Source organism: Homo sapiens, chromosome 6, assembly GCF_000001405.40.
Source record: "Homo sapiens chromosome 6, GRCh38.p14 Primary Assembly".
Classification (NCBI taxonomy): Eukaryota; Metazoa; Chordata; class Mammalia; order Primates; family Hominidae; genus Homo; species Homo sapiens.
Window position 1 is genome coordinate 166,822,501 of NC_000006.12, and position 27,045 is coordinate 166,849,545.

Consider the following 27,045-nt stretch of genomic DNA (forward strand, 5'->3'; position numbering starts at 1 on the left):
CGGAGCTACAAGGAAGTAACTTTCTGTTGTGAAAGCTGCCGAGTCTGTGGTCCCTGTCAGGGCAGCCCTAGACACAGACACAAACGATTTCCAGCTACACTGAGAGTCCATCCCATTCCCTGCCTGCCCCACCACCTCCCACCACCCCATCCAGCTCATGGATTATTTATGTGTCTGTCTCCATCCAGCAGAAAATCAGGACAAAGATGTGGATTTGTCTGCCCTGTTCAGGCAAAGGTCTATCCCCTAAAGCAGTGCCTCACACATAGGGGCTCAGCACGTGTTTTCCAATGAATGAATGAATGAATGAATGAATGCAATCCCATGTTGCCAGATCTAAGGACTTTCCATAAGGAGCCATGTAAGTGGATTTTTAGACAGAATGTTGTGGTTCCTCAGTCATAACTTTTTCTTGGTAGAATGACAAGTTTCTTTTAAGGAAGTATTCCAGTTCATCAATGAAGAAGTGCTAGAATGAGGGTATCACTCTTTGATCACTCCTAGTGAGTTATTGGATCTTGGCAATCACCAAAACTGAAGAAAAAGACAACCAGACATCCAAAGGGCAGACGACCCCACCTGAATATTGGTGAGACTCTAGACCCAACTGACAAAAGACAGGAGCTACATGAGACAGGGGACCATGTTCAAGGATGCAATGAAGAAGCAGGCAGAAAGATCCAGAATGCCCAGAACACTGCAGGACAGTGGTCCAGTTTCTTTAACAAGGCAAGAAATATGCAAGATGTAGAAGGAGACCACATATTAAATGAGACTTAAGAGGTGTGTCAACCAACCACGGTATATGAGCCTCTCTTAGAGCCTGACTCACACAAACTATTACAGATCAGATAACTGGTGAAAGTCAAAGACCTGACATTTGATGATACTAAAAAATTATTATTAAATTGTTATGCACTGTATTGGTTTTGCAGTGTGTGTGTGTGTGTGTGTGTGTGTGTGTGTGTGTGTGTAAAGGGTGACCTTATCTTTAGAGACACTTCTTGAAATACTTGTAGCTGAAATAATGTGATAATAAACTTCTTCAAAAATAGTCTGGTGGATGTGGGCTTAGGGGAAGAGATGGAGTTTAAAGTGGAACAAAATTTTCTGTGAGTGATATTTGTTGCACAGTGGGAGCAAGAAAGTTCCTAGTGTTATTCCCTCAACTTCTGCAATTGCTCAAAATTTTCCAAAATAAAAGCAGAAACTATGCAGTACAATGAACACGGACAGGCATTTCACAGGAGAGGAATCGGACATGGCCACTAAAAATGTAGAGAGAAGTGAACCTTATTTGATCAGCGAAGTTCAATTTATCCCCATTCAACTGGCAAAAAGTTAAAAGGTCTTACGATACCACATGTTAGGGAAGACATAGAGCTTCTCTGATACGTGGGATAGTATGCTCACGTTCTGCTGTTGGGAGTATAAACTGGCACAACCAATTTGGAAAAAAGCTTGGCATGCTCTCCTCAAAAGTTTATGCTCTCCATGTGAATTCCATTCAATAATTCCATACAACGATTCTATAATTCTATCTCTGGTTGGTTGTGTATGTGTGTGTGTGATGTGTATGTGCTTGTTTATATGTGTATACACATGTGAATATACATGCTTGTGTGTATGCATGTGTATACATGTACACACATCTCTTTGCACCCACGAGAAACTCCTGCACATGTACCCGAGGTGTCATGTATAAGGACGTCATAGCAAATGAATGAATGAAGGGAGGCAGCGAGGGAGGGCTGCCCATGGAGCAGAGATAGAGATGTGGTATGGACCAACCAGTACTGGACCTGGTGCACCAGTGTACAGAGAAGCCGCCGTGTGGGGCGACTCTCCAGATAGCAGCCTGTCCCCCTGGTGCCCGGCACTGCCTCAGCAGGTGGCACCTGCTGGGGTTCTCACTCTGCAAGATGCCTGGGGGACATACTTCCCAACTTCTCTGTGGCAGTTTTCACTTAAAAGGAAACTTGAATATTTAATCCGACCCTAAGTCAAATCCTTCTGTGCTAGCATGAGGGCATGTGTGTGTGAGTGTGTCTATATGTGTGTGTCTATGTGTGTCTGTGTCTGTGTGTGTGTGTCTGCATGTCTAATATGTGTGTGTCTGTGTGTCTATGTGGGTGTCTGTATGTCTGTGTGTGTGTGTGTGTCTATGTGTGTGTCTGTGTGTCTACATGTGTGTCTGTGTCTGTGTGTGTGTGTCTGTGTGTATGTCTGTGTCTGTGTGTATGTCTGTATGTCTGTGTGTGTGTCTGTGTGTCTACGTGTGTGTCTGTGTGTGTGTCTGTGTGTCTATGTGTGTCTGTGTGTGTCTGTGTGTGTGTGTATGCTTGTGTGTGTATCTATGTGTGTCTGTGTGTGTATGTCTGTATGTATGTCTGTGTGTATGTGTGTCTGAACTTTGTGAAAAGAGGCAATCACATCAGGACAGTTGCAGGCCACAGCGTTCTGTGCTTCACCCTGTCCGGGGTGCTAACTTGAAGCCATGAGCGGAGCACCCCAGGGAGCTGCCTTCCCGTCCGTCTTCTGCCTCCACCCACACAGCAGTGCTGCAGAGCGCTGTTCTTCCACGAGGGAATAGCAGGGCCTCTAAAAACCCTTTTACAAATGTCGCTTTCATGATCAGGAATCCATTTCAAAGCCAGAGCAGAGCGGGCTCCCCACAAATGGGGGCTCTGAGTTGAGGGGTGCTGGATGCTGAGGGGAGGGGGCAAAGGGGAGTGATCCCATGAGTCCCGAGAATAAAAGGCAGGGCTGATGGTGCCGTGACTGCTGGGAATCCAGGGTACCCGTGGCTGTGAGGGGAAGGCGACTATTCTGAAGAGAATAACTTTAACCTCTCATTCCCAGGTAACGCCTGGAGTTGAGGAAGAACTCGGGCTTAGGGGAAGAAATGGAGTTTAGGTGGAATACAGCAGAGAGGGACCCCTGGGCAGGCCTGCTTCCCCTGACATGACCCAGATCCTGGCAAATCATTATAGTCCCTTCAGGGTGCTACTTAGCTACTTACCCTAGACTGGGTAGCTTAGCTACTTACCCTAGACTGGGTGGCTTTTAAACAACAGAAATGTAGTGGTCCCAGGTCTGGAGGCTGGAAGTCCAAGGTCAAGGCACCAGCAGATTCAGTGTTGGATGAGAACCCACTTCCTAGTACATAGACAGCAACTTCTCCCTGTGTCCCCGGTGGTGGAAGTGGTGAGGGAGCTTTCTGGGGTCTCCTTTATAAGGGCACTAATCCCATGAATGAGGCTCCACCCTCATGAACCCATCATCTCCCGAGGCCCCACCTCCCAATACCATCACCTTGAGGGTTAGGATTTCAACACGAATTCTGGGAGAGACACAAGCATTCAGACCACAGCACAGATGAAATGTCCACAGCAGGAAGGAACAGATTCCTCCACTGGGCTGTCATCTGAGCTCCTGCCTTTCACGTCAACATTTGTGAGTAGAAAGTAAAGAAAATTGGATCAAATTAACCTGAAAGAATGAACCAAGGCAAGCACAACAATGAGTCATTAGAAAACACTTCGGGCATAAATAGATGTTCTCTTTTGGCAAATTTCCTAGGTTGGTGGATATTTTAAGTTTTACTAAGAAAAACAAATGTAAATGTTATTAAGCGGCTGGGAAAAACAAAGCATGTGATATATTTTTCACACATTTTTCTTTGTCCTCCCATTAAACTCTATGTTCATATGTAGTTTATATTTTACATCTAAAACTTGATAGGATGTTTTTCATTTGTTCTGAGAAAGTGGAAAAGTAGAAAGATACGTTTCCCATTGCCACACCTTAGCTGTTTTTAAAATGTTCTCTTCTCTCACACACAATCAATTGAAAGAGCCCTTTCCTTTTTCCTAGGACGTCCTGAGCACTTTGCTCACACTGTAGGACTCAAAAAGTCTGGGCCATGTCCTGGGATGACCTAAATCAGATTCAAGTCATCCACAGCGCTGCTTGGTATGTGTGCAATTCAAGGGAGAATCTCCCACACACCTCCTTGCAGACAACTCTGAGATTTGGCTCTTACAAAAGATTAGTTGGGTAAATCACTGTTACAAAAGATTGCCAGAAAGATGCGCTTTTCTACGGATTATAAAATTGTCCCCTGAATTAAGCTAGGCTTACCATAGCTAGGGTACCACGTTGCCTCACATCCCATAAAACTGTCTTCATTGACCTCGATTTTGCCATTATACTCTCTGTTTACATTTATGGACCCTATAAGAGGGACATATATGAAATTCAGTACTAGATTTAGTATAGGGCTTGGTCTACTGGATTATTGAGGGTACTCTTCATGGGAAGATACAGGAATAATTAACCTCAGACCATAGTTCTCAGAAAGGCTATATTTCTTGTGTTTTAATGTGCAGATGCTATGAATTATATAACTGATTATGTTTCTCATTTTACTGAAGCCTCTAGAAAGGTCAGGGTTGAATTCCAAGCCTACCTTTAACATAGAAGCAGAGAGTAGAATTGTGGTTAGTAAGGGTAGGGAGGTGGGGGTATGGGGAGACCTTGGTCAAAGAGCACAAAGTGTTAGTTATGTAGGATGATAAGTTGTAAAGGTTGTTAAAGTTGTCAGAATAAAAATGGAGTCACTAAAGTTAAGAAAACCTTGACAAATAGAGCTGGGGAAGGCCAAGAAGAAAAGGTTCTCAGGCTTGTACACCTGATAATGAAAAAGACTTTACAAAAACCACAACCTTGCACAAAGGCCATCACAACCTTATACAAAAAAAAAAAAAAAAAAAAAAAAAAAAAAATGCTTCTGGAAGGACACCTGCCCCGAAACTGCCTGTCCAACCTCGGACTGTAGGAACAAAACGTGATGTGTATATATCTACAATGGAACACCGTTCAGCCTTGTTATTGATCTTGTGGCCAAGAATAATTATTGCAAAACAATTATGTAATCCTCCTCATTTTTTTCTTTAAACACCTCTGTCTTTATCTCCTGAATATATACATAGTTTACTATGGCACATGTATTCCCATTGCAATGCTCTACTCGCAAATAAACATTTTCTTTTAGAGAGCCACTGTCTGTTATTAAGGTTGGCAACATCTAACACACAGCATGGAGAACACGGTTATTAACATTCTGTTGCGTACTGAAAATTTGCTGAGAGTCCATCTCAAGTGTTCCCACCACCAAAAACAAGGTAACTGTGTGAAGAGATGGGAAGTGAATTAGACTGTCTGTTGTAATCAGAATACGATGTGTATGGACATCAAAACCTCACACTGCGTATCTTAAATATAACAATTTCAACACAAAATGTGAAAGCAAACTGTAAGGATAGGCTGGTGCACTTTGATCTCTTGTTTTATGCTCTGCCTTCATTGTTCTGTACCCTTAATCGGGTTTTTAGTTTCAGTCTATTGTGTGAGAAGCATTTTAAATTAATAAGGTGCCTCAACTTCCTCTTGGAATGTAGATTGGGTGTAAACATACATCTGTAAATACACATATATTCTGTTAGAAGAGATGGCAATCAGCTGCAGGTACCTGACAGAATTTGCTACATCAAACCACAGAAACATGCTGGAGGAAAAAGTAAGTACAAACCCATGGATGAGATCTCATGATGGAGACAATTACACCTCAGGGTCAGCATGGGGCATGGGCATCCCACCTGTTCCCTCCCAGCTTCAGCACAGTGCTGTGGCCTCAGGGAGTCCTCTGATGGCCACAAAGTGAGCACAGAATCAGAGCCCAGTGGTCAGAATGGCCCGGAAGGTGAACCTGTCACCTGCAGAGCCTCTTCTGAAAGACCTGCCCTCCTTTCCCCTTCCTCCCCAACTCCACACCCGCCACCTTCCTGTGGGGACAGAATTCAGGCAAGACTGCCACGCCAGTCCCCAGTGCTAAATGACAAACCACGTTGGGCTCATGCCGTATCTGCCCTTTCCTTCACCCTTCCTTCCAGAATTCTTTTGCTCTTAATATTTCTAGGGTAGAAGTAGAGCAAGTACTTTATCTATGGGAATAAATTTATCACATAAAAATCTAACAGAGCTTGAGATATAAATGTATTCAGTGTGCCTTAAAAGTGGTATCACTGACTCATCAAATTGTCTTGTGAAAACTGGATATCAAGATGCAAAAGAATACAGTTGGACATACTCTATATCATACACAAAAATTGACTAAAGATAGATGAAAGACCTAAATGTAAGACCTACAACTATAACACTCTTAGAAGAAAAGATGAGAAAAGCTTTATCACATCAGATCGGGTAATGATTTCTTGGATATGACGTCAAAGGCACAGGCAACAACAACAAAAAATAGATAAATCAGACGTCATCAAAATGTAAAACTTTTGTACATCAAAAGACACAATTAACAAGATGAAACAACAACCCACAGAATGGGAGAAAATATTTGCAAATCATATATCAGATAAGGGGTTAATATCTGGAATGTATAAAAACCTCCTACAACTTAATAACCTCAATAACAATAAAAAACCAAATAACCCAATTAAAAAATAGCAAACGACTTGAACAAACATTTCTCCACAGAAGACTACAGGTGACCAATAAGCACACGGAGAAACGCTCAACATCACGAATCATGAGAGAAATGCAAATTAAAGCCACAGTAAGGCACCACTTCACTCCCATTGGTATAGCTGCTATCAACGAAGCAGAAAATAGCAAATGGCAAGGATGTGGAGAAACTGAAACCTTTGTGGCACTACTGGTGGAAATGTAAAATAGTATAGCTGCTGTGGAAAACAGGACGGTGGTTCCTCAAAAACATTTAAAAATGAATTATCGGCCGGGCGCGGTGGCTCACGCCTGTAATCCCAGCACTTTAGGAGGCTGAGGCGGGTGGATCAGGAAGTCAGGAGATGGAGACCATCCTGGCTAACACAGAGAAACCCCGTCTCTACTAAATATACAAAAAATTAGCCGGGTATGGTGGCGGGCGCCCGTAGTCCCAGCTACTCCAGAGGCTAAGGAAGGAGAATGGCGTGAACCTGGAGGCGGAGCTTGCAGTGAGCCAAGATCGCGCCACTGCACTCCAGCCTGGGCAACAGAGCGAGACTCTGTCTCAAAAAAAAAAAAAAAAAAAAAAAAAAAAATTATTATATGGTCCATCAATTCCCCTGCTAGATTGAAAAGCAGAGACTTAAACAGGTATTTGTCTACCCATGTTCACAGCAGCTTGACTCACAGTACTCTGAAGATGGAAGCAACCCAATGGTCCATCAGCAGACGAGTGGAAGAACAAAATGTGATGTGTATATACCTACAATGGAACACCGTTCAGCCTTAAGAAGAAAAGGAATTTGTCTGGGTGCAGTGGCTCATGCCTGTAATCCCAGAACTTTGGGAGGCAGAAGCAGGTGGATCACCTGAGGTCCAGAGTTCAAGACTAGCCTGGCTAACATGGTGAAACCTCATCTCTACTTTTAGTATTTTTAATTTTTAATACAAAAACTATCTGGGCGTAGTGGTGGGCGCCTGTAATCCCAGCTACTCCAGAGGTCAAGGGAGGAGAATCGCTTGAACCTGGGAGGCGGAGATTGCATGAGCCGAGATCGCACCATTGCACTCCAGCCTGGGCAACAAAAGCAAAACTCCATTTCAAAAAAAAAAAAAAAAGAAAGAAAGAAAGAAAGAAAGAAAAGAAAAGGAATTTTCACACATGCTACAACATGGAGCCCATAACCTTGAGGACATTACGCTAAGTGAATATACCAGTTGCAAAAAGACAAATGCTGTGTGATTCTGCTTACATGAGGTGCCTAGAGTGTCAAAATTATAGAGACAGAAAGTAGAACAGTTGCTGTCTCATTGGGGAAGTGGCTGAGGGAAGTGGAGAACAGAGAGTTGGTTAGTTTTTAACAGGCAGAGAGTTTCAGTGTTGCAAAATGAGAAGTATTCTGGAGGTGGATGGTGGTGATGGTTGTACAATGATGTGAAAGCCCTGAATACCTCTGACATACTTAGAAACCGTTAAGATGGTACATTTTATATTTTTATAATTTCTTTTTAAAAAAAGCTCATCGCTGATACAAAGTATAAAACATCTCTCCCAATACATGCACAAGAAATGACACATGCAGAGTTCATGGACAATTTCCTACGAGGCAAGGGAAGTAAGGCCTGCCCTCTAAATCTGCCTTAGCGTGTGAGCCCACAGCTTTCTGCTGTGGGTTCTGACATTTCTCATCACACCAAGCGTCAGTCCTCTCAGACCCAGATCTGAAAGCGGGGGCTGAAACCTGTGTTACTGCCTTAGCTGTCATCTCCATGGCTGTGTGGGATCCCAGAGCCACAGCCTTCCGTCCTGGCACTGTGTTGATTTTTAAGGCCTTTTCTTTGAGATTTGGGACATTATTGTTTCCTCTTTCCCAGCTCCCCCCTATCAAGCTAGAGCCCTGACCATTAGGCACTCTGGCCAGACCCAGGCTCTCCCTTGGGCTGGGTCACACGCTGTGGTTGGGGAGTTTCTTCTGCAACGAAGGCCTCCCTGGACCCCTGACTCACCACGCATGTGGCCAACCACACCTCTGAGGGCCTGGAGCCCAGACCCTCCAGTGGCAGGGGGTATTGGGTCCATCCACGGAGAGAACCCCTGATGGAAGAGGCGCCTCCCTCCTGGGCCATCCACACTGACAATGCAGCTGCTCCCTGCCCCCACCTCCTCCTCCACTCTCCGCAGGTGTTGGTCCTGCGCACCTCACTAAACTTGCTCAGAGGCAGGTTCCTCAGAGGCTGCTCCACGCATCCAGGACCGGAGGCCTCACCAGGGATCCCTTCTCAGATCCTTACCCTCCCTGCCATCTCTCTTCTGCTCAGGTCCACAGTGGGTCCGTGGCCATGATGACTATGGAGCTTCTCTACTTCAACTTGAATTTGCCCTTCCTTCAACCACTCTGTGTATTTCTACACCAGCATGACACCTTCCCCCCTGCCCCTGCCAGACAGAAAGCTTCAGCTGTAAGGGCAGTGAGGACCAAGACACTCTTGCCTTGTCCGCACCTCTTCACAGGCTCCTTCTTCCCACAGAGGAAGGCTTGGCCCCCACTGAGAGACGCTCCCTTAGGGAACAGGTGCTGTTCTATTTCCATGCCGCATTTGCCCTCACCTTCCCTGGGCCTGGGCTCGGTAGCAAAAGACCACAGAGAGAAATTCCAAAACTGAGAATAAAAACTATAACAGGAAATATTTTTAAACAAATTGTATTTTACCACATCTACATACATACACACAATAACAGAATTACATACTAGATAGATGATAGATACATAGATAGATGATAGATAGATAGATGATAGATAGTAGACACATACATAGGTAATAGATATATAGATACATATATACATAGATGATAGACAGATGATAGATGGATAGATAGATGATGGATGGATAGATAGACAGATGATAGATAATAGATGGATGGATAGATAGCTACATAGATACATACGTAGATAATAGATACACAGATATATGGATGATAGATACATATATACATACATGTATAGATGATACATGATAGATAGATAGATAGATAGATAGATAGATAGATAGATAGATAGATATAGATAATCTACAGTAGTGAGTTGGTTGCATGTTATGACCGAGGAAGAATATAAGATGCGTACCAGATTTCTGATTTGGCCTTGAAAGTGACCTGGGAGTATTTTTAATGAAGTAAACAGGAAGAAAGTGGCTGATGGTGTTGGAATTTGCCTGGCCTGGGAGGAAGAGCTGAGTTAGGATAAGAGGAGTGGGATTTGGACACATTGGCTGTGCTGAGGAAGTTGGGGGGGAAGCTCCAGGCTCTCAGCACATGTTTGGATTTACTCACAGATGCACAGATAGCAGAGGCTGAGCTGGATTTTGAATCCAGTTTGAATCTACTTCTGACAGACCCCAGAGCCCAGGCTTGGAACCCCAGGCAATACTGCCCCTGGCTACACCAAGATATTACTCTAGAGACAAAAATGCAATACACTTTTAAGTATAATAGCCAAAAATGGAAATTCTGTTGGTGTTTTCTCTATGGTAAGTCCGCTCATGTCAAGAGAAACTAACTCCATCTTGAAAATAAACTTTCTGAATCCCTCTCTTAAGAAGCATGCTGGGAGGTCGCAGTGCCCCACAGTTTAAATGTTAGGAAATGCAGGAGATCCAGAAAATTGACAGATTTATTACTAAATGTTTACTTTTGATGTTCAATGTCATTAATTTGATCTAACTGGGGAAATTGTCAGAATTAGCGAAGATCATGAATCACTGAAGTATATTTAAATGTCATTTTATTACTTCCAAGCACTCATAATTAAAGAAACTAAATGTTAGAAAAGAATTGAGCCAAGACTTTAATCACGATACCTTAAAGAGCAAATTTTAATTATAATGTTCACATTAAAATGTCTCATTGCAAATAGATCTTGCCAATATGTTTGAAAGCAGCTTGCTCTCTTATGTAAATGCAGTTTAATTTGCTTAATTAAGATGTTTAGCAACTTTTTCTTTCATAATACAAATAATCATAATAGCAGACATTTATTGAGTGCTTACTGTGTGCCCACAGTTAGCCAAGCACTTGCATGGTACTACCACATTTCATCCTCACAACCATGAAGAAAATACAAATATTATCCTACACGTGATGAAACAAGCTTAGAAAAGGCCAAAGTGGTGAAATAGACTCACAGCCAGGTGATCTGATGGAAGAAACCATTCTTAGCCAACAAAGGAAGGCATCAGGAACAACAAAGATGAAACTGTCTACATCTACATTAATAGAATCCAAAGCAAGTCAGTCTATAACTGAATATGGACTTTTCCTTTATGATGTAATATTTGAAACTGTAACTCCCTAGAGTTTATGTTTTTCTAAGTCAGATTTATTGAAGTTTAATTTACCTACAGGCGAATTCACTTCCTTTAAGTGTAGAGATCAATGAATTTTTACAAATTTGTACAGTCATGTAACCATGATGACAACCAAGGCATGGCACATCTCCCTGCCCTAAACGCTTCCCTCATGTCCCTTTGTCAGTTTCCTCCGGCAGCCCACACATCCTGGACACCACTGGTCTACAGGTAGAAGTGGAGTATGCAATACATAGTATTTGGGCCTGGCTGCTTTCCTTCAGACTAATTCTTGTGAGATGTACTTGTGTTGCTGCAGTCACCCCTGGTTTGTTCCTTTCATTGCAGAGAAGTGTCCCAAGTTTAGACGCAGAACACAATCTGTTTATCTATTCACGAGTTTATCATTTGAGCAGGTTCCAGCTTTTTGTGATTATGAGTAAACTGCTGTAAATGTCCACATTCAGGCATTTTCATGGATGTATGTTTTTATTCCTTTTGCATAAATTCCTTTTCTTCTTTCTTTCTTTCTTTTTTTTTCTTTTTTTACAGGGTTGGGGTTTCACTATGTTGACCAGGCTGGTCTCAAACTCCTGGCCTCAAGTGATCCTCCCATCTTGGCCTCCCAAAATGCTGGGATTACAGATGTGAGTCACCATGCCTGTCCCCTTTTGCATAAATATCTAAGGGTGAAAGCATTGGGTTATATGGCAAGGGTATGTTTAACTATAAAAGATGTTGCCCAACTATTTTCCAAAGTAGCTGCGTCATTTTGCATTCCCACCAACAACGGAAGAGAGTTCCAGTTATTTCACACCTTTGTCAGCACTTGATGCTGTCAGACTTTTCAGTTTTAGCTACTCTAGTAGGCTTGTATCAGTATCTCACGGTGGTTTTAATCTGCATATCCTAAATGACTCATGATGTTGAGCATCTTTTCACACACTCATTTGCCGTTCTCATGTCTTTGTTAAAATGTCTGTTCAGCAGGAACAGAAAACTGAATACCACATGTTCTCTCTTATAAATGGGAGCTAAATGATGAGAAGACATGGACACAAAGAAAAGAAGGAACAACAGACGTTGGGGTGTATCAGAGGGTAGAGGGTGGGAGGAGAGAGAGAATCAGAAAAAAATATTGGGTACTATGCTTAGTACCTGGGTGATGAAATAATGTGTACCACAAACCCCCATGACACAGGTTACTTATATAACAAACCTGCACGTGCAGCCCTGAACCTAAAGTAAAAGTTAAAACAAAAATGTCTGTTTAAATCTTTTGCCCATTTTTATTGGGTGGTTGTCTTCTTATTTTCTAGTTGTAAGAGTTCCTGATGTAATCCGGATATAAATCTTTTATGAGGTATGTGTTTTAAAAATATTTTCTCCCACTCTGGCCAGTATTTGGATTTTTCTGACAGTGTCTTTTCAAGGACAGGAGTCTTTAGTTTGTATGGCGTCCTATTATTTATTTATTTATTTATTTATTTATTTATTTAGCAGTTCATGCCTTTTGTGCCATATCTAGAAAACTTTTGCCTAAACCAGCGATGATTTATTCTATCAGTGTTATTGTTTTAGGTCTTAAATTTAGGTCAATGGCCCATTTTTAGTTACTTTTATAAACAATGCAAACACCAAGGCTTATCTTTTTGTTTATAAATATCTACTTGTTCAAACACCATTTGTTAAAAAGATAATCTTTCCCCTCATTGAATTACACCGACATCTGTGTCAAAAATCAATTGACCACAGTGTGACAGTCTGTTTCTATTCATTCCATTGACTATGTCTACTTTTATGCCAATACTGTACTGTCTTGATGACCACATCACTGTAGTATAGCTTTAAAAGACAGTGTGAGTTCTCCAACTTTATTCTTCTTTCGCAAAGTTCTTTGGGTTATTCTACATCCTCTGAACTTCTGATTAAGTTTAGGAATCTGTTTGCCAAATTCTGTGGAGATTTTGATTGGTGTTGCATTGGATTCTCAAAATCAGTTTGGAAAATCAGCACCCTAACAACACTAAGTCTTCTGATCATGACCTTAGCCTGCATTATTCATTTAGAACCTCCCTTTAAGCTCTCAGCCATGTTTTGTAATTTTCAGTACACAAACCTTGCCCATGTTTTGTAATATTGGGATCCTACTGTATGTCATTTTAATTTCAATTTCTCATTTTTGTTTCCTTTATAAAGAAATAAAAAATTGACTTTGGCATATTTACCTTACGTCCTGCAACCATCCTAAACACGTGAGTCTTAATAGCTGCTTTTGCAGATAATTTGGAATCTTCTAGGTAAATAGTAATGTTGTATGAAAATAAATGCAGCTTGCTTTCTTCCTTTCCAATTTGTATAACTTACATTTCTTTTTTACCTTCTTGCACTACCAATAATTTTCAGTATAATGTTGAATGGGAGTGGTGCAATGTCCTCATCTGAAGGCAAAAGCCTTCCATCTTTCACATTAGGTGTGATGCTGGCTGTCAGCTTTTTGTAGAAGCACTGTATCATATTGAGGATGTTTCTTTTTTATCCATAATTTTTAGAATTTTAGGAGAAATAGATTTCGAGTTTTCTCAAGTGATTTTTATGCATCTATTAAGATGATCATGTGGTTTTTCTCTTTAGTCTGTTAATATGGTAAATTCCATGCATTTATTTTCAAATATTAAACCAAATTTGCACTTGCTGGAATAAGTTCTACTTTTTTATGATGCATTATTCTTTTTGTATGTTGCTGGATTCAATTTGCTAATATTTTCCTAAGGAAAATATATATTATTTTTTAAGTGTATATTTAGGAGAGACATGGTCCTATAGTTTTCTGTTTTTGTTTTTGTTTTTCTTGTAATGTCTTTGCACGGGTTTTAGTATCGGGGTAATTTTGGCTTCATAAAATACTTCCTCCTCTTTTATTTTCTGGACATATTTGTGTAGAATTGGTAATATTTCTTCCTTAAATGTTCGATAGAATTCACTAGTGAATTCAATTAGTCTGAAAACTTCCTTGTGGGGGTTTTTAACAACAAATTAAAAACCTTTAATAAATATAAGACTATACAGTGAGTAAATATACATGTTAATTATTTTCTATTTTTCTACCTCCAAGTTTTCTGATTTTTTTCCACTTCTGTGCCCAATGTATTAATCAGCTCATTACAGAATACTTCACCTCTGGTATCACTTCTGAAGGTTTCTAAACACAGCCATGTGACTTATCTTCATCGCTTTCCCCTCTGTGCTAAAACTCAGTGTCTCCTCACACACACTGTCCACTCTTTCTGGTAGATCTCTCATCATATTTATTATAGTTACTTTCAAGTCTCGTCTGTTGGTTCTAGCGTCTGGGCCAGTCTCGAGGACAGGTTGGCTTTTGTTTGTTTGTTTTGGTATGTGTCTTCGAATTGTTAATCAAATACTGGGTATGGTGAGTAGAGGAACAGCAAAGGCCGAGATGACTTTAAATTACACCTGCACCCAAGCTGGCCCACCTCGGTCCCTGAGCCGGGATTTGTCTTGTCAGGAGCTGACCAGGCCTCGCTGCTTGGTCTTTGCCTTCAGTGTGCCCCGTCTTCAGTCCCGCTCGGGCACCTGCAGCTGAGCTTCTCTTGGGACCTGGGACCTGGCCCAGCACAGCGGGATTTCCAGTACCCGCTGCACCCTCAGCGCTGAGCAGGTGCCGCTCACCTGGCCACAGCCGGCTCTTCACTGCGTGCCCCGCCCGAGGAAGACCGACGCTGTCCATTCTTGCTGGGAGGTGCGTGGTGAGGCCAGGGGGCTCCGAGGCCTCCTGTCCAGCCTGTCTCAGAGGCAGCCCAAGGACCCAGGCCTCAAGGGTCTGGGGTGGGAGGGCGCCCTGCCCACCCCCACGGAGCAGCCTTCTCTAGGCTCTCCCAGCCCTTCCCCGGGGTGGAAGGCTCGGCCGCTCCCTGACCCCTGGCCTCAGCAGCCCTTCCCTGGGCCAGAGGCCACACTGCAGTTTTCTCAGCTCAGGCTCACTGTGGAGCAGGGGTCACTCCGGACCCTCTCAGAGCTCCCACCTCTTCCCCGAAGCAGGGCCTTCCCCCTCCCACTGGCTAAGGGCTCTGTACCACAAGAGGGAAAAGGCGACCGCAGGGTGGACCTCTGTGTCTGTCCACCTGAGGGCTCCCCGCTCCTGCCTAGCCCCCAGTCCCCTCCCCCTGCGAGAAGGCTGCAGAGGACACTGGAGTGAGGATGGCCCCGTGGCTGGGGCTCTGGGGTCCTAGGCTGGTGCTGGGCCCACACCCAGCTGTGTCCTCATCACCTCTGTGGGGGTGGCTGTGTCTTCCACCCGCCCTCTGCCCCTCCCGGGCTCCCCACCCTTCAGGCTGCCACCTGGCCGCCCTGCTCCCGATAAGTTCAGGGAAGGTGGGGTTCCCAGATGACCTGGCTGGGCTTCATTGCAAACCAGGTTGTCACTGCGTTCTAAGTCCTAGGCATAACTGGAAGCTTTTTGTTTTACTTGGTTGGTTGTTTGCTTTTTACCAATAATCTATCCAAATATCTTCTACGGAATGAAAATAAAGCTTGCACATGGAAATGGAAATTAAGAAACAGAAGTTTTTCTGGTTCAAAATGAGCTTGACAGTTGGTTTGACTTCTGTGTCTGAGACACATAAACGCAACGCAGGCTCTGCATGAGCACAGGCTCCTTGGCAAAAGCCCCAGATCACAAAGTCAAAGCCCTTACTGGCTCACAGGGAGCACCTGAGTCATGGGCTGAGGACCTCAGGCTTGAAAGCCCTGTACCAGCCGGTCAGCGGCTAACATTATTTGCTAAAATTAACAGTTGGAAATCAATGCCTTGTCCAACAGAGGTACAATTGAGCTATAATTGATTCAAGGAAGTAAAATAACACTGAAGAAGGGTGGTCAGCCTCTAACTTACAAGGTGAAGTGCTTCCGACCTTCCTAACGCAATGGTTCTGGGGAAGGCAAGGATGAGAGTGTCAGCGTGTCAATGATAATAGCATTGTGCTTATGGAGGAAAATGTATTTATTTTTCAGAGAGCCATACTGAAAAATTTAGGAATGAAATGTTATGGTTTATATACATCACCAAAAAAATACTTGAGCAAAAAATATTCACAAAAAAATACAAATATAAAACAAAATCAAAAAAAGTTTATCTAGTCCACGTTCAAAGTCCCCCAATTGTCCAAAGAAATATACTTTACTGCTGGTTTCTTCAAATCAGAATGGAACCAACAAGTAAATGTTACATTGTATTATCATGTCCCTACGTGTCATTAATACACAGCAGTCCTTCCCAGTCTTTTGTGTCAGTCTTGTTTTCTTGCAGGTAGACCAGGTATCCTCAAGGCCTCACCACTGGAGGACTCGGAATCTTGGCCGCAAAGATACTAACAGATGTCCACGTGATAAGCCCCAGGACCTGTGAGAATGGTATGCGGCAAAGGGGCTTTGCAGCTTTGGACAAACAAGGAGGACCACCCTGGATTTTCTATGTGAGTTTAATCTCACCAGGGCCCTCATAAGAGGAAGGCAGCAGGTCAGAGTCAGAGGACGAGATGTGGCCATGGAGGTCGGGATGGATGGGAGTGAGGCCGCTGCAGGAAAGGGCCGTGAGCAAAGGAGTACTGGCACCTCTGGAGGCTGGCACAGGCAGGAAGTGGGTTCTGGAAATGAAACACAGCCTCTGCCAACTCCTCGATCTTAGGATCTGTGCCCTCCAGAACCGTTAGACAACCAGTGTGTGTTGTTTTACACCACAACGTTTGTGGTGATTAGTTCCAGCAGCCAGAAGGAACTCACAGCCACCCGCTGGGGGACCCGCGCGTAAGTCATGGTGTTCCCCCCTTGTGTCTTTATTGCTTTTTTCCTGTAATTAGCTGGTTATGTTCAAAGTAGCTTCCTGCATTGTTCCGTGAATTCATGGCTATATATTTTATACTGTGATGATCACGTCTCCTGCACATCAAACACCCAAAAACCAGAGGACTTGTCATTCATCACTGCAGTGTCTACGTGGCCTTTTCCAGGATACGTTATGAAGAAATGTTTGTTAGATAAATAAGTGAGTAAATGTGTACTATTGATGTAGCAACTTTTAAGGGAAGACATTAGAATAAGGGGGAATTGAGCCTTACCATATCTGAGGGGTTAGTTACTGTATATTTATCATTATTTTCTAAATGTAAAATGAAATGGACTCGCTTCTTGTTTATAATGGGGGCTTTGGAATAGTATGGTTCACCAATGTAAAAATAGATGCCATCCCAATGTAGTCACAAGGGTGCTTATAAGAGGGAGGTGGAAATCAGAGCAGGAGAGGAGAGGGGAGGAGAGGAGAGGAGAGGAGAGGCGGCACTGGAGGCTCTGGAGGCGCAGCACAGGGCCTCCAGCCAGGGTATGTGGACAAAGGCCCAGAAATGGGTTCTCCCTTGGGCTTCCACAAGGAAGGCAGTCTGCTGATGCCTGGATTTCAGCCCAGTGAGACTGATTTTGGACTTCTGCTCTCAAAAGTGGTAAGATGATAAATTTGTGGACTTTTAAAATTAACTAAAATAGAAAAGGACAAAAATCGACCTCTCCAATAGGTAATGAGTTCAACTATTGAATGAAATTAGTATTATTCCATATATATATATGTAAGCAATAAGCTTAGTGTTAACATAAAAAATAGATGCCATAATGCCACTTGTTTGCAGGAAGTAAAAATTTGAAAGTGAACACTGGAAACTGTTCTGCAAAGCTGCCCCCAAATGACTCCTTTGCTCCTAAAACAGACCTCCAGCTGCTGTGTGCCTGTGGTCTTGCTCCTTGATCTGCAGTGTCCTGCACCATCCACACTCAAGCATGCTCTGGCACCTGGGCACCAAGTTCCTGCAAAGCCTGTGAGAAATCCACTGGACCAGAACCTGAAGTTTTATCAAAGTCTTGGTGGTTTCCATGCACAGCAAAAAGAAACAGACTTCCAGGCTTTCATGTGAGAGTGCGACGGCCTTCCTCTCTCTACCTCCCCACGAGTAGAGCTGCCCGGGGACCCTCTGTGGCTGAAAAACAGAGAAAGTTTGCCTGGCACAGACACATTCCAGGACTGGGCAAATGGTTTGGGGAGCTGGTTTTCAAATGCTCCTTTACAACCCTCTAGGAAAACAAGGTGTGGTGCTTTCCTTTCCTCGCCATTTCTCCAGCAGCACTCTGAGGATATGCAATGCTAGACAGCACGTCCTTACTGTAACAAAATGCCAGTGAGTTGTGTCCTGAGCCCAGGAGGCTTAACTAATCACTAACCTTGAAATGTACCATCTCACATTGTTTAAAAAGAAAGCTGGGCCGGGCGTGGTGGCTCACGCCTGTAATCCCAGGCTTAGGCGGGCAGATCACCTGAGGTCGGGAGTTCGAGACCAGCCTGACCAACATGGAGAAACACTGTCACTACTAAAAATACAAAAAATTAGCCAGGTGTGGTGGTGCATGCCTGTAGTCCCAGCTACTCAGGAGACTGAGGCAGGAGAGTCACTTGAACCCAGGAGGCAGAGGTTGCGGTGAGCTGAGATCGTGCCATTACACTCCAGCCTGGGCAACAAGAGCGAAACTTTGTCTAAAGAAAAAAAAAGAAAAAAGAAAAAAAGAAAGCTGAGGCTGGGTGTGGTAGCTCACATCTGTAATCCCAGCACTTTGGGAGGCCAAAGTGGTAGGATCACTTGAGGTTGGGAGTTCAAGACCAGCCTGGGCAACAAAGCAAACCCTGTCTCTACAAAAAATAAAAAAAAAAAAATTAGCCAGGCAGCTACTCAGGAGGCTGAGGCAGGAGGATCAGCAGAGCCCAGGAAGTTGAGGGTGAGATTACACCGCTGCACTCCAGCCTGAGTGACAGAGTGAGATCGTGTATCAAAAAAATAAAAAATGAAAAATAAAAACCTGAATATCCCTGGTGCGTTAAAAGGAAGATACTGCATTCTAGTAAGAGTCAAGGCCATGTCTGCAGCTTCAGCGCTGACGCGTGCTTCTTGCCATGCTGAGCCAGGCAAAGTGCGTGCTGCACCTGCTCTTTCAAAGACAGTGGTCCCAGAGCTGACGATGAGCTTTTTCCAAAGCCTGAAGATGAAAGTGTCAGAAGAATACTGTATGTTTTTTCAAAGTTATAGGAGGGTAAGGTGAGAACACAAGAACAAAAACTTAATTGCAGAGGAAAAATAGAAAAACTCAGCAGGTCTGAGATGGCAGCTCTGATCTAGACACAGCAGGTGCTGCACCCAGCCTCCAGAGGCCCACAGCCGAAGGCCTGCAGAGGCTGAGTCAGAAAGGACCTAGTGATTGCACTTCACTGCTAAGGAAAAGGTGAGAGGGGGCTGACAGCAAGTAATGGGACCTGTGTTTCATTCCTCCCTTTTGACATGGTATGACGGTAACACCCCGTGACCACTCTCTAAAGAGATGAGGAAGAGGCCAGGAGTGAGGCTTGTTTGGTAGAGGACAGAGGGTCTGATACAAAATCACCCTAAAATATTCTCTAATCACCAATTGGTCCCCGCTATGACCAGGAGTTTGTGGTGGCCTCAGGTCTTCCCTAAGGGTCACCGTGATTCTGGTGCCCTTGGACAAGCCTCAAGCAGGATCTGGCATCTCTCGAGCGAACAAAAGCCAGTGCCCAGGCAGCAGGGAGGCCTCTACACACCTCCAGCGGTAGTAGAAGCAAAAATCATGATAAAAAATCAGGTCAGCGTGCAACTCATCGATTTTGGCTCATGCCCCAAAAAGCAGGTTCTCTCGCAAAGACTCTGAGACCCTGACCCACAACGCCAACCGAACGGGGGTTCCCAAGCACAGTATCTGCTAGGGGTCGAATTATGCTCCCCAAAAGATACGTGAGTCTCCAACCCCCAGTCCCTCGAAATGTGGCCTTGTTTGGAAATAGGGTCATTGCAGGTGTAATAAGATGAAAGTCGCCAGGGTGGCCCTGATCCAATATAACTGCGTTCTTAGAACACCATGTGAAGATGGAGGTGGAGACTGGAGAGAGAATCCCACCAGCCAAGGAACACCAGAGGTCACCAGCAAAGCACAGAGGACAGGGAGAGGTTGGGACAAATTCTCCCAAAGAGTCCCCAGCAGCAGCCAGCCCTGTGGATGCTGTGATCACAGACTTCCAGCTCCAGAACGGTGAGGGAGTGAATTTCTGCTATTTAAGCTGCCCGGTGCATGGAACTTTGTTGCAAGGCTCCAGGAGACTAATCCAGCACTGAAGCCAGAGGGGCTGTATCCATAACGGACCCGAAGGGCTTTCAAATCTCTTCTGTGAGCATCACGTCCCACAACTTGTGTCTCCGGCCAGCTCCGTGCTTCTTAGCCCAATACCCAGAGTTACTTATCTTAAAAATACAGACAGGGAAAATGGAGATTAAGATGGTGGATAGGAGGCAGGACTGGCTTGCAGCTCCTGCTGGAACAGACAAAGCAGCATGTGGAGAGACCCACATCGTGAACTTTTGTTCCAAGAACTACCACAGCAACATACCAGGAAAGCCTAGAGAATCCACGGACCCTTTGAAGGAACTTTATCGCTGCTGCAGGCTCCATGAGACGCTGAAAAACCGTGAGTCTGCCTGCCTTCTCAGTGGGGAGGGCAAGTTCTCAGCCCAGGTCACCGGCTGCCTAGAAATAGACTCGGTGCTGTTGGGGGCACAGTGGGAGTGAGACCAGCCTTTAGGACTGTGGGCTGCATGGGAGCAGGGTGAGGCCTGTGACCGCCGCCTTTACCCCACTTTCCTGGTGATCTGTGTGATGCAGCAGAGGCCCCCTGCGAACATAGCTCCATTGGCCTGGGAATCACACCCCCATCCCCCACAGCAGCCACACCAAACCCTGCTCAAGGAGAATCTGAGATCAGAAACACCTAACCCTGTCCCACCTGGGGGTCTTTCTCTACCTGCCTTGGTAGCCAAAGACGAAGGACATAATCCCTTGGGAGCTCTACAGCCCTGACCACCTCTGGAGAAACCTGAATACTTCAAAGGTGACCCAAGGGCAAGCTTGTCTTCTCCCTGTACAACCTCAGCTGATGCACTCCTGAAAGCACCACCTCCTGGCTGGAGGACAACCAACACAAAACCAGTGCACTGAACAAAAACACAACCAAGGACCCTCATAGAGTCCACTTCACTCCCTGCTACCTCCACTGGAGCAGGTGCTGGTATCCACAGCTGAAAGACGTGAAGACGGATCACATCACAGGACTCTTTGCAGACGTTCCTCAGTACCAGCCCAGAGCCAGTAGCTCTGCTGGGTGGCTAGATCCAGAAGAGCAAAAACAATCACTACAGTTCAGCTCTCAGGAAGCCCCATCCCTAGGGGAAGGGGGAGAACACCACATCAAGGGAGTACCCCATGGAACAAAAGAATCTGAAAAGCAGGTCTTGAGTCCCAGATCTTCCCTCAGACATAGTCTACCCAAATGAGAAGGAACCAGAAAACAATTCTGGTAATATGACAAAACAAGGTTCTTTAACACCTCCAAAAGATCACACCAGCACACCAGCAATGGATCCAAACCAAAAGGAAATCTCTGAATTGCCAGAAAAAGAATTCAGAAGGTCAATTATTAAGCTACTTAAGGAGGCACCAGAGAAAGGTGAACTCCAACTTAAAGAAATAAAAAAAAACATGTTATACAAAATGAAAGGAAAATTCTTCAGTGAAATAGCATAAATAAAAAAATAATCACAACTTCTGGAAATCAAAGACACACTTAGAGAAATACAAAATGTGCTGGAAAGTCTCAGCAATAGACTCAAACAAGCAGAAGAAAGAACTTCAGAGCTCAAAGACAAGGCTTTCGAATTAACCCAATGCATCAAAGACAAAGAAAAAAGAATTTTAAAACATGAACAAAAGCTCCAAGAAGCTTGGGATTGTGTTAAGCATCCAAACCTAAGAATAATTGGTGTTCCCGAGAAAGAAGAGAAATCTAAAAGTCTGGAAAACATTTGAGGGAAAAATCAAGGACAGCTTGCCCAGCCTTGCTAGAGATCTAGACATTCAAATACAAGAAGCTCAAAGAACATCTGGGAAGTTCATCACAAAAAGATCATTGCCTAGACACATAGTCATCAAGTTATCTACAGTCAAGATGAAGGAAAGAATCTTAAGAGCTATGAGGCAAAAGCATCAGGTAACCTATAAAGGAAAACCTATAAGATTAACAGCAGATTTCTCGGCAGAAACCCTACCAGCTAGAAGGGATCGGGGTCCTATGTTTAGCCTCCTTAAAGAAAACAATTATCAGCCAAGAATTTTGTATCCAGTGAAACTAAACTTCATAAATGAAGGAAAGATACAATCTTTTCCAGACAAACAAATGTTAAGAGAATTTGCCACTACCAAGCCAGCACTACGAGAACTGCTAGAAGGAGCCCTAAATCTTGAAACAAATCCTCTAAATACACCAAAATAGAAACTTCTTAAAACATAAATCTCACAGAACCTATATAACAATAACACAACAACAACAAAAAAAACAAACCAAGGTATTCAGGCAACAAATAGCACAATGAAAAGAATAGTACCTCACATCTCAACACTAACATTGAATGTAAATGGCCTAAATGCCCCACTTAAAAGATACAGAGTAGCATAAACTTAAGATAAAGAGGTGGAAAAGATATTCCATGAAAATGCATACCAAAAGCAAGCAGGAGTAACTATTCTTATATCAAACAAAACAGACTTTAAAGCAACAGCAGTTAAAAAGACAAAGAAGGACATTACATAATTATAAAAGCAGTAGTTCAACAGGAAAATATCACAATCCTAAATATATATGCACCTAACATTGGAGCTCCCAAGTTTACAAAACAATTATGACTAGACCTAAGAAATAAAGAGACAGCAACACAGTAATAGTGGGGGACTTCAATACTCCATGGACAGCACTAGACAGGTCATCAAGACGGAAAGTCAACAAAGAAATAATGGACTTAAACTATACCCTACAACAAATGGACTTAACAGATATTTACAGAACATCCTGCCCAACAACTGCAGAATATACACTCTACTCATCAGCACATGTAACATTCTCCAAGATAGACCATATGATAGGCCACAAAACAAGGCTAGGTAAATTTAAGAAAATCAAAGTTATATCAAGTACTCTCTCAGACCACAGTGGAATAAAATAGGAAATTAACTCCAAAAGGCAGGCTCAAAACCAGGCAAATACATGGAAATCAAATAGCCTGCTCCTGAACGACTGTTGGGTCAACAACAAAATCAAGATGGAAATTAAAAAATTATTTGAGCTGAACAATAATAGTGACACAACTTGTCAAAACCTCTGGGATACAGCAAATGCAGTGCTAAGGGGGAAGTTCATAGCATTAAATATCTACATCAAAAAGTCTAAAAGAGCACAAATAGACAATCTAAGGTCACACCTCAAGGAACTGGAGAAACAAGAACAATCAAAACCCAAACCCAGCAGAAGAAAAGAAATAAAGATCAGAGCAGACCTAAATGAAATAGAAACAAAAAGAAAATACAAAAATTAAATGAAACAAAAAGCTGGTTCTTTGAAATGATAAATAAAATCAATAGATCATTAGCGAGATTAACCAAGAAAAAAAGAGAAAATCCAAATAAACTCAATTAGAAACAAAATGGGAGATATTACAACTGGATACCATAGAAATGCAAAAGATTTTTCAAGGCTACTATGAACACATTTATGAGCATAAACTAGAAAATCTAGAGGAGATGGATAAATTCCTCAAAATATACAACCCTCCTAGATTAAACCAGGAAGATATAGAAACTCTGAACAGACCAATAACAAGCAGCAAGATTGAAGTGGTAATTTTTAAATTGCCAACAAAAAAAAAGTCCAGAACCAGATGTATTCACAGTTGAATTCTATCAGACATTCAAAGAAGAATTGGAACCAAGCCTATTGACACTATTCCACAGGATAGAGAAGGAGGGAATCCTTCTTAAATCATTCTATGAAGCCATTATCACCCCCATACCAAAATCAGGGAAGGACATAAAAAAAAAGAAAACTATAGACCAATATCCCTGATGAACATAGATGCAAAAATCCCCAACAAAATACTAGCTAACTGAATCCAACAGCATATCAAAAAGATAATCCACCATGATCAAGTGGGTTTCATACCAGGAATGCAGGGATGGTTTAACATCCACAAGTCAATAAATGTGATATAGCACATAAACAGAATTAAAAACAAAAATCACGTGATCATCCCAATAGATGCAGAAAAAGCATTTGACAATATCCAGCATTGCTTTATTATTAAAACCCTCAGGAATATTGGCATAGAAGGGGCATTCCTGAAGGTAATAAAAGCCATCTGTGCCAAACACACAGCCAACATTATACTGAACGAGGAAAAGTTGAAAGCATTTCCCCTGAGAACTGGAACAAGACAAGGATGCCCACTTTCACCACTTCTATTCAACATAGTACTGGAAGTCCTAGCCAGAACAATCACACAAGAGAAAGAAATCAAGGGCATCCAAATTGGTAAAGAGGAAGTCAAACTGTCACTGTTTGCTGATAATATAATCGTATACCTAGAAAACCCTAGTAAAGAGGAAGTCAAACTGTCACTGTTTGCTGACAATACCTAAAAAAACCTAAAGACTCATCCAAAAAGCTCCTTTAACTGGTAATTGAATTTAGCAAAGTTTCCAGATACAAAATTAATGTACACAAATCAATAGCTCTGCTACACACCAACAGTGACCAAGCTGAGAATCAAATCAAGAACTCAACCCCTTTTACAAGAGCTGAAAAAAAAAACCTTAGGCATATACCTAACCAAGGAGGTGAAAGACCTCTACAAGGAGAACTGTAAAAACACTGCTGAAAGAAATAATAGATGACACAAACAAATGGAAACACATTCCATGTTCATGGATAGGTAGAATTAATATTGTGAAAATGACCATACTGCCAAAAGCAATCTACAAATTCAATGCAATTCCCATAAAAATACCACCATCATTTTTCACAGAACTAGAAAAAACAATTCTAAAATTCATATGGAACCAAAAAAGAGCCCACATAGCCAAAGCAAGACTAAGCAAGAAGAACAAATTTGGAGGCATTATATTACCTGACTCCAAACTATACTGTAATGTCATAGTAACCAAAACAGCATGGTACTTGAATAAAAATAGGCACATAGACAAATGGAAGAGAATAGAGAATCAAGAAATAAAGCCAAATATTTACAGCCAACTGATCTTCAACAAAGCAAACAAAAACATAAAGTAGGGAAAGGACACCCTATTCAACATATGATACTGGGATAACTGCCTACCCACATGTAGAAGAATGAAATTCATTCTTCATCTCTCACCTTATATAAAAATTTACTCAAGATGGATCAAAGACTTAAATCTAAGAACGTGAAACAACAAAAATTCTAGAAGATAACATTGGAAAAACCCTTCTAGACATTGGCTTAGATAAAGAGTTCATGACCAAGAACCTAAAAGGAAATACAACAAAAACAAAGATAAATAGATGGGACTTAATTAAATTAAAAAGCTTCTGCACAGCAAAAGAAATGATCAGCAGAGTTAACAGACAACCCACAGGGTGGAAGAAAATCTTCACAACCTATACATCCAACAAAGGACTAATATTCAGGATCTGCAAGGAACTCAAACAAATCAGAAATAAAAAATAAACAATCCATCAAAGTGGGCTAAGAACATGGATAGACAATTCTCAAAAGAAGATATACAAATGGCCAACAAACATGGAAAAATGCTTCAACATCACTTATTATCAGGGAAATGCATATCAAAACCACAATGCAATATCATCTCACTCCTGCAATAATGCCCATAATTTAAAAAATCAAAAAATAATAGATGTTAGCATGGATGCAGTGAAAAGGGAACACTTTTACACTGTTGGTGGAAATGTATAACTAGTACAACCACTATGGAAAACAGTGTGGAGATTCCTTTAAGAACTAAAAGTAGATCTACCATTTGATCCAGCAGTCCCACTACTGGGTACCTACCCAGAGGAAAAGTCATTATACCAAAAAATACCCGCACATGCATGTTTATAGTAGCATAATTTGCAAATGCAAAAATGTGGAACCACCCCAAATGCCCATCAGTCAATTAGTGGATAAAGCAACTGTGGTATATATACCATGGAATACTACTCAGCCATAAAAAGAATGAAGTAATGGCATTCACTGCAACCTGGATGGAACTGGAGACCATTATTCTTAGTGAAGTAACTCAAGAATGGAAAACCAAACATCGTATGTTCTCACTCATAATTGGGAGCTAAGTTATGAGAACACGAAGGCATAAGAAGGATTCAACGGACTTTGGGAACTCACGGGAAGGGGTGGGAGGGGGATGAAGGATGAAAGGCTACACACTGGGTACAGTGTACACTGCTTGGGTGATGGGTGCACCAAAGTCTCAGAAATCACCACTAAAGAACTTATTCATGCAACCAAATACCACCCGTTCCCCAAAATCCTATTGAAATAAAAAATTAATTTTTAAAAAATTAATTTTAAAAATATATATATATATGTGGGTCCCATCACTCTCCTGCTTAGAAGTCCCAAAAGGCTTCCAGGAAAAAAGGATATAATCCAAGACCTTGCCATGGCCTCGAATCCTGACATCACACTCTTCTCTCCACATGCATCTCAGGCCAGCCTGGGCAGCCCCAGGCCTGCACATGGTTCCTGAAGCCAAGCCCAGCTGAGGCTTCCTTGGTCCGGCCATGCCAGGGTCTGTCTGTCTGTCTGTCTGGGACAATCCACCCCTGGTCTTGCTGGTTGGTTTCTTCTCATCAGTCAGGTCGTGGCCTAAACATGGCGTGGGTAGAGAAGTCTACGGTAACCATGCCCCATGCCTCTGCTGGTATGGCCCACGCAGAGCACTCCCTGTCACCCTATTTCTGCACAGTACTTACCCCCGTGTGAAACCATCTTGTTGAGCTAGTTGTTTATTTGCGAGGATGCTAAAATATAAGATTCGTGCTGTCTTCTTTTTCATAGAATCCTGGTGCCCAGCACAGGGCCAGACACACAGTTATCACTCCCCAGACTTTGCCCGAAGAATAAAAGAAGAAGGGAGGGTGAGGTGGGGGCGGATCAGCTTGAGTCACCACGCGTGTAG

General features: G+C 42.8%; 1 protein-coding gene across 4 annotated transcripts in view, besides 1 other annotated feature; it reads right to left on the reverse strand.

Annotated features, from left to right (window-relative positions):
- The window catches only part of RPS6KA2 (ribosomal protein S6 kinase A2), a 453,410-nt gene that overhangs the window by 413,137 nt on the left and 13,228 nt on the right, over positions 1 to 27,045 (reverse strand). The gene's annotated exons all lie outside the window — the stretch shown is intronic.
- Positions 14,111 to 14,632: an enhancer, noted in NCBI's record as "H3K27ac-H3K4me1 hESC enhancer chr6:167250099-167250620 (GRCh37/hg19 assembly coordinates)". NCBI's record gives its function as "activates a minimal SCP1, AML or CMV promoter by ChIP-STARR-seq in naive H9 embryonic stem cells {active_cell/tissue: H9 hESC(naive)}" and the evidence as "EXISTENCE:reporter gene assay evidence [ECO:0000049][PMID:30033119]".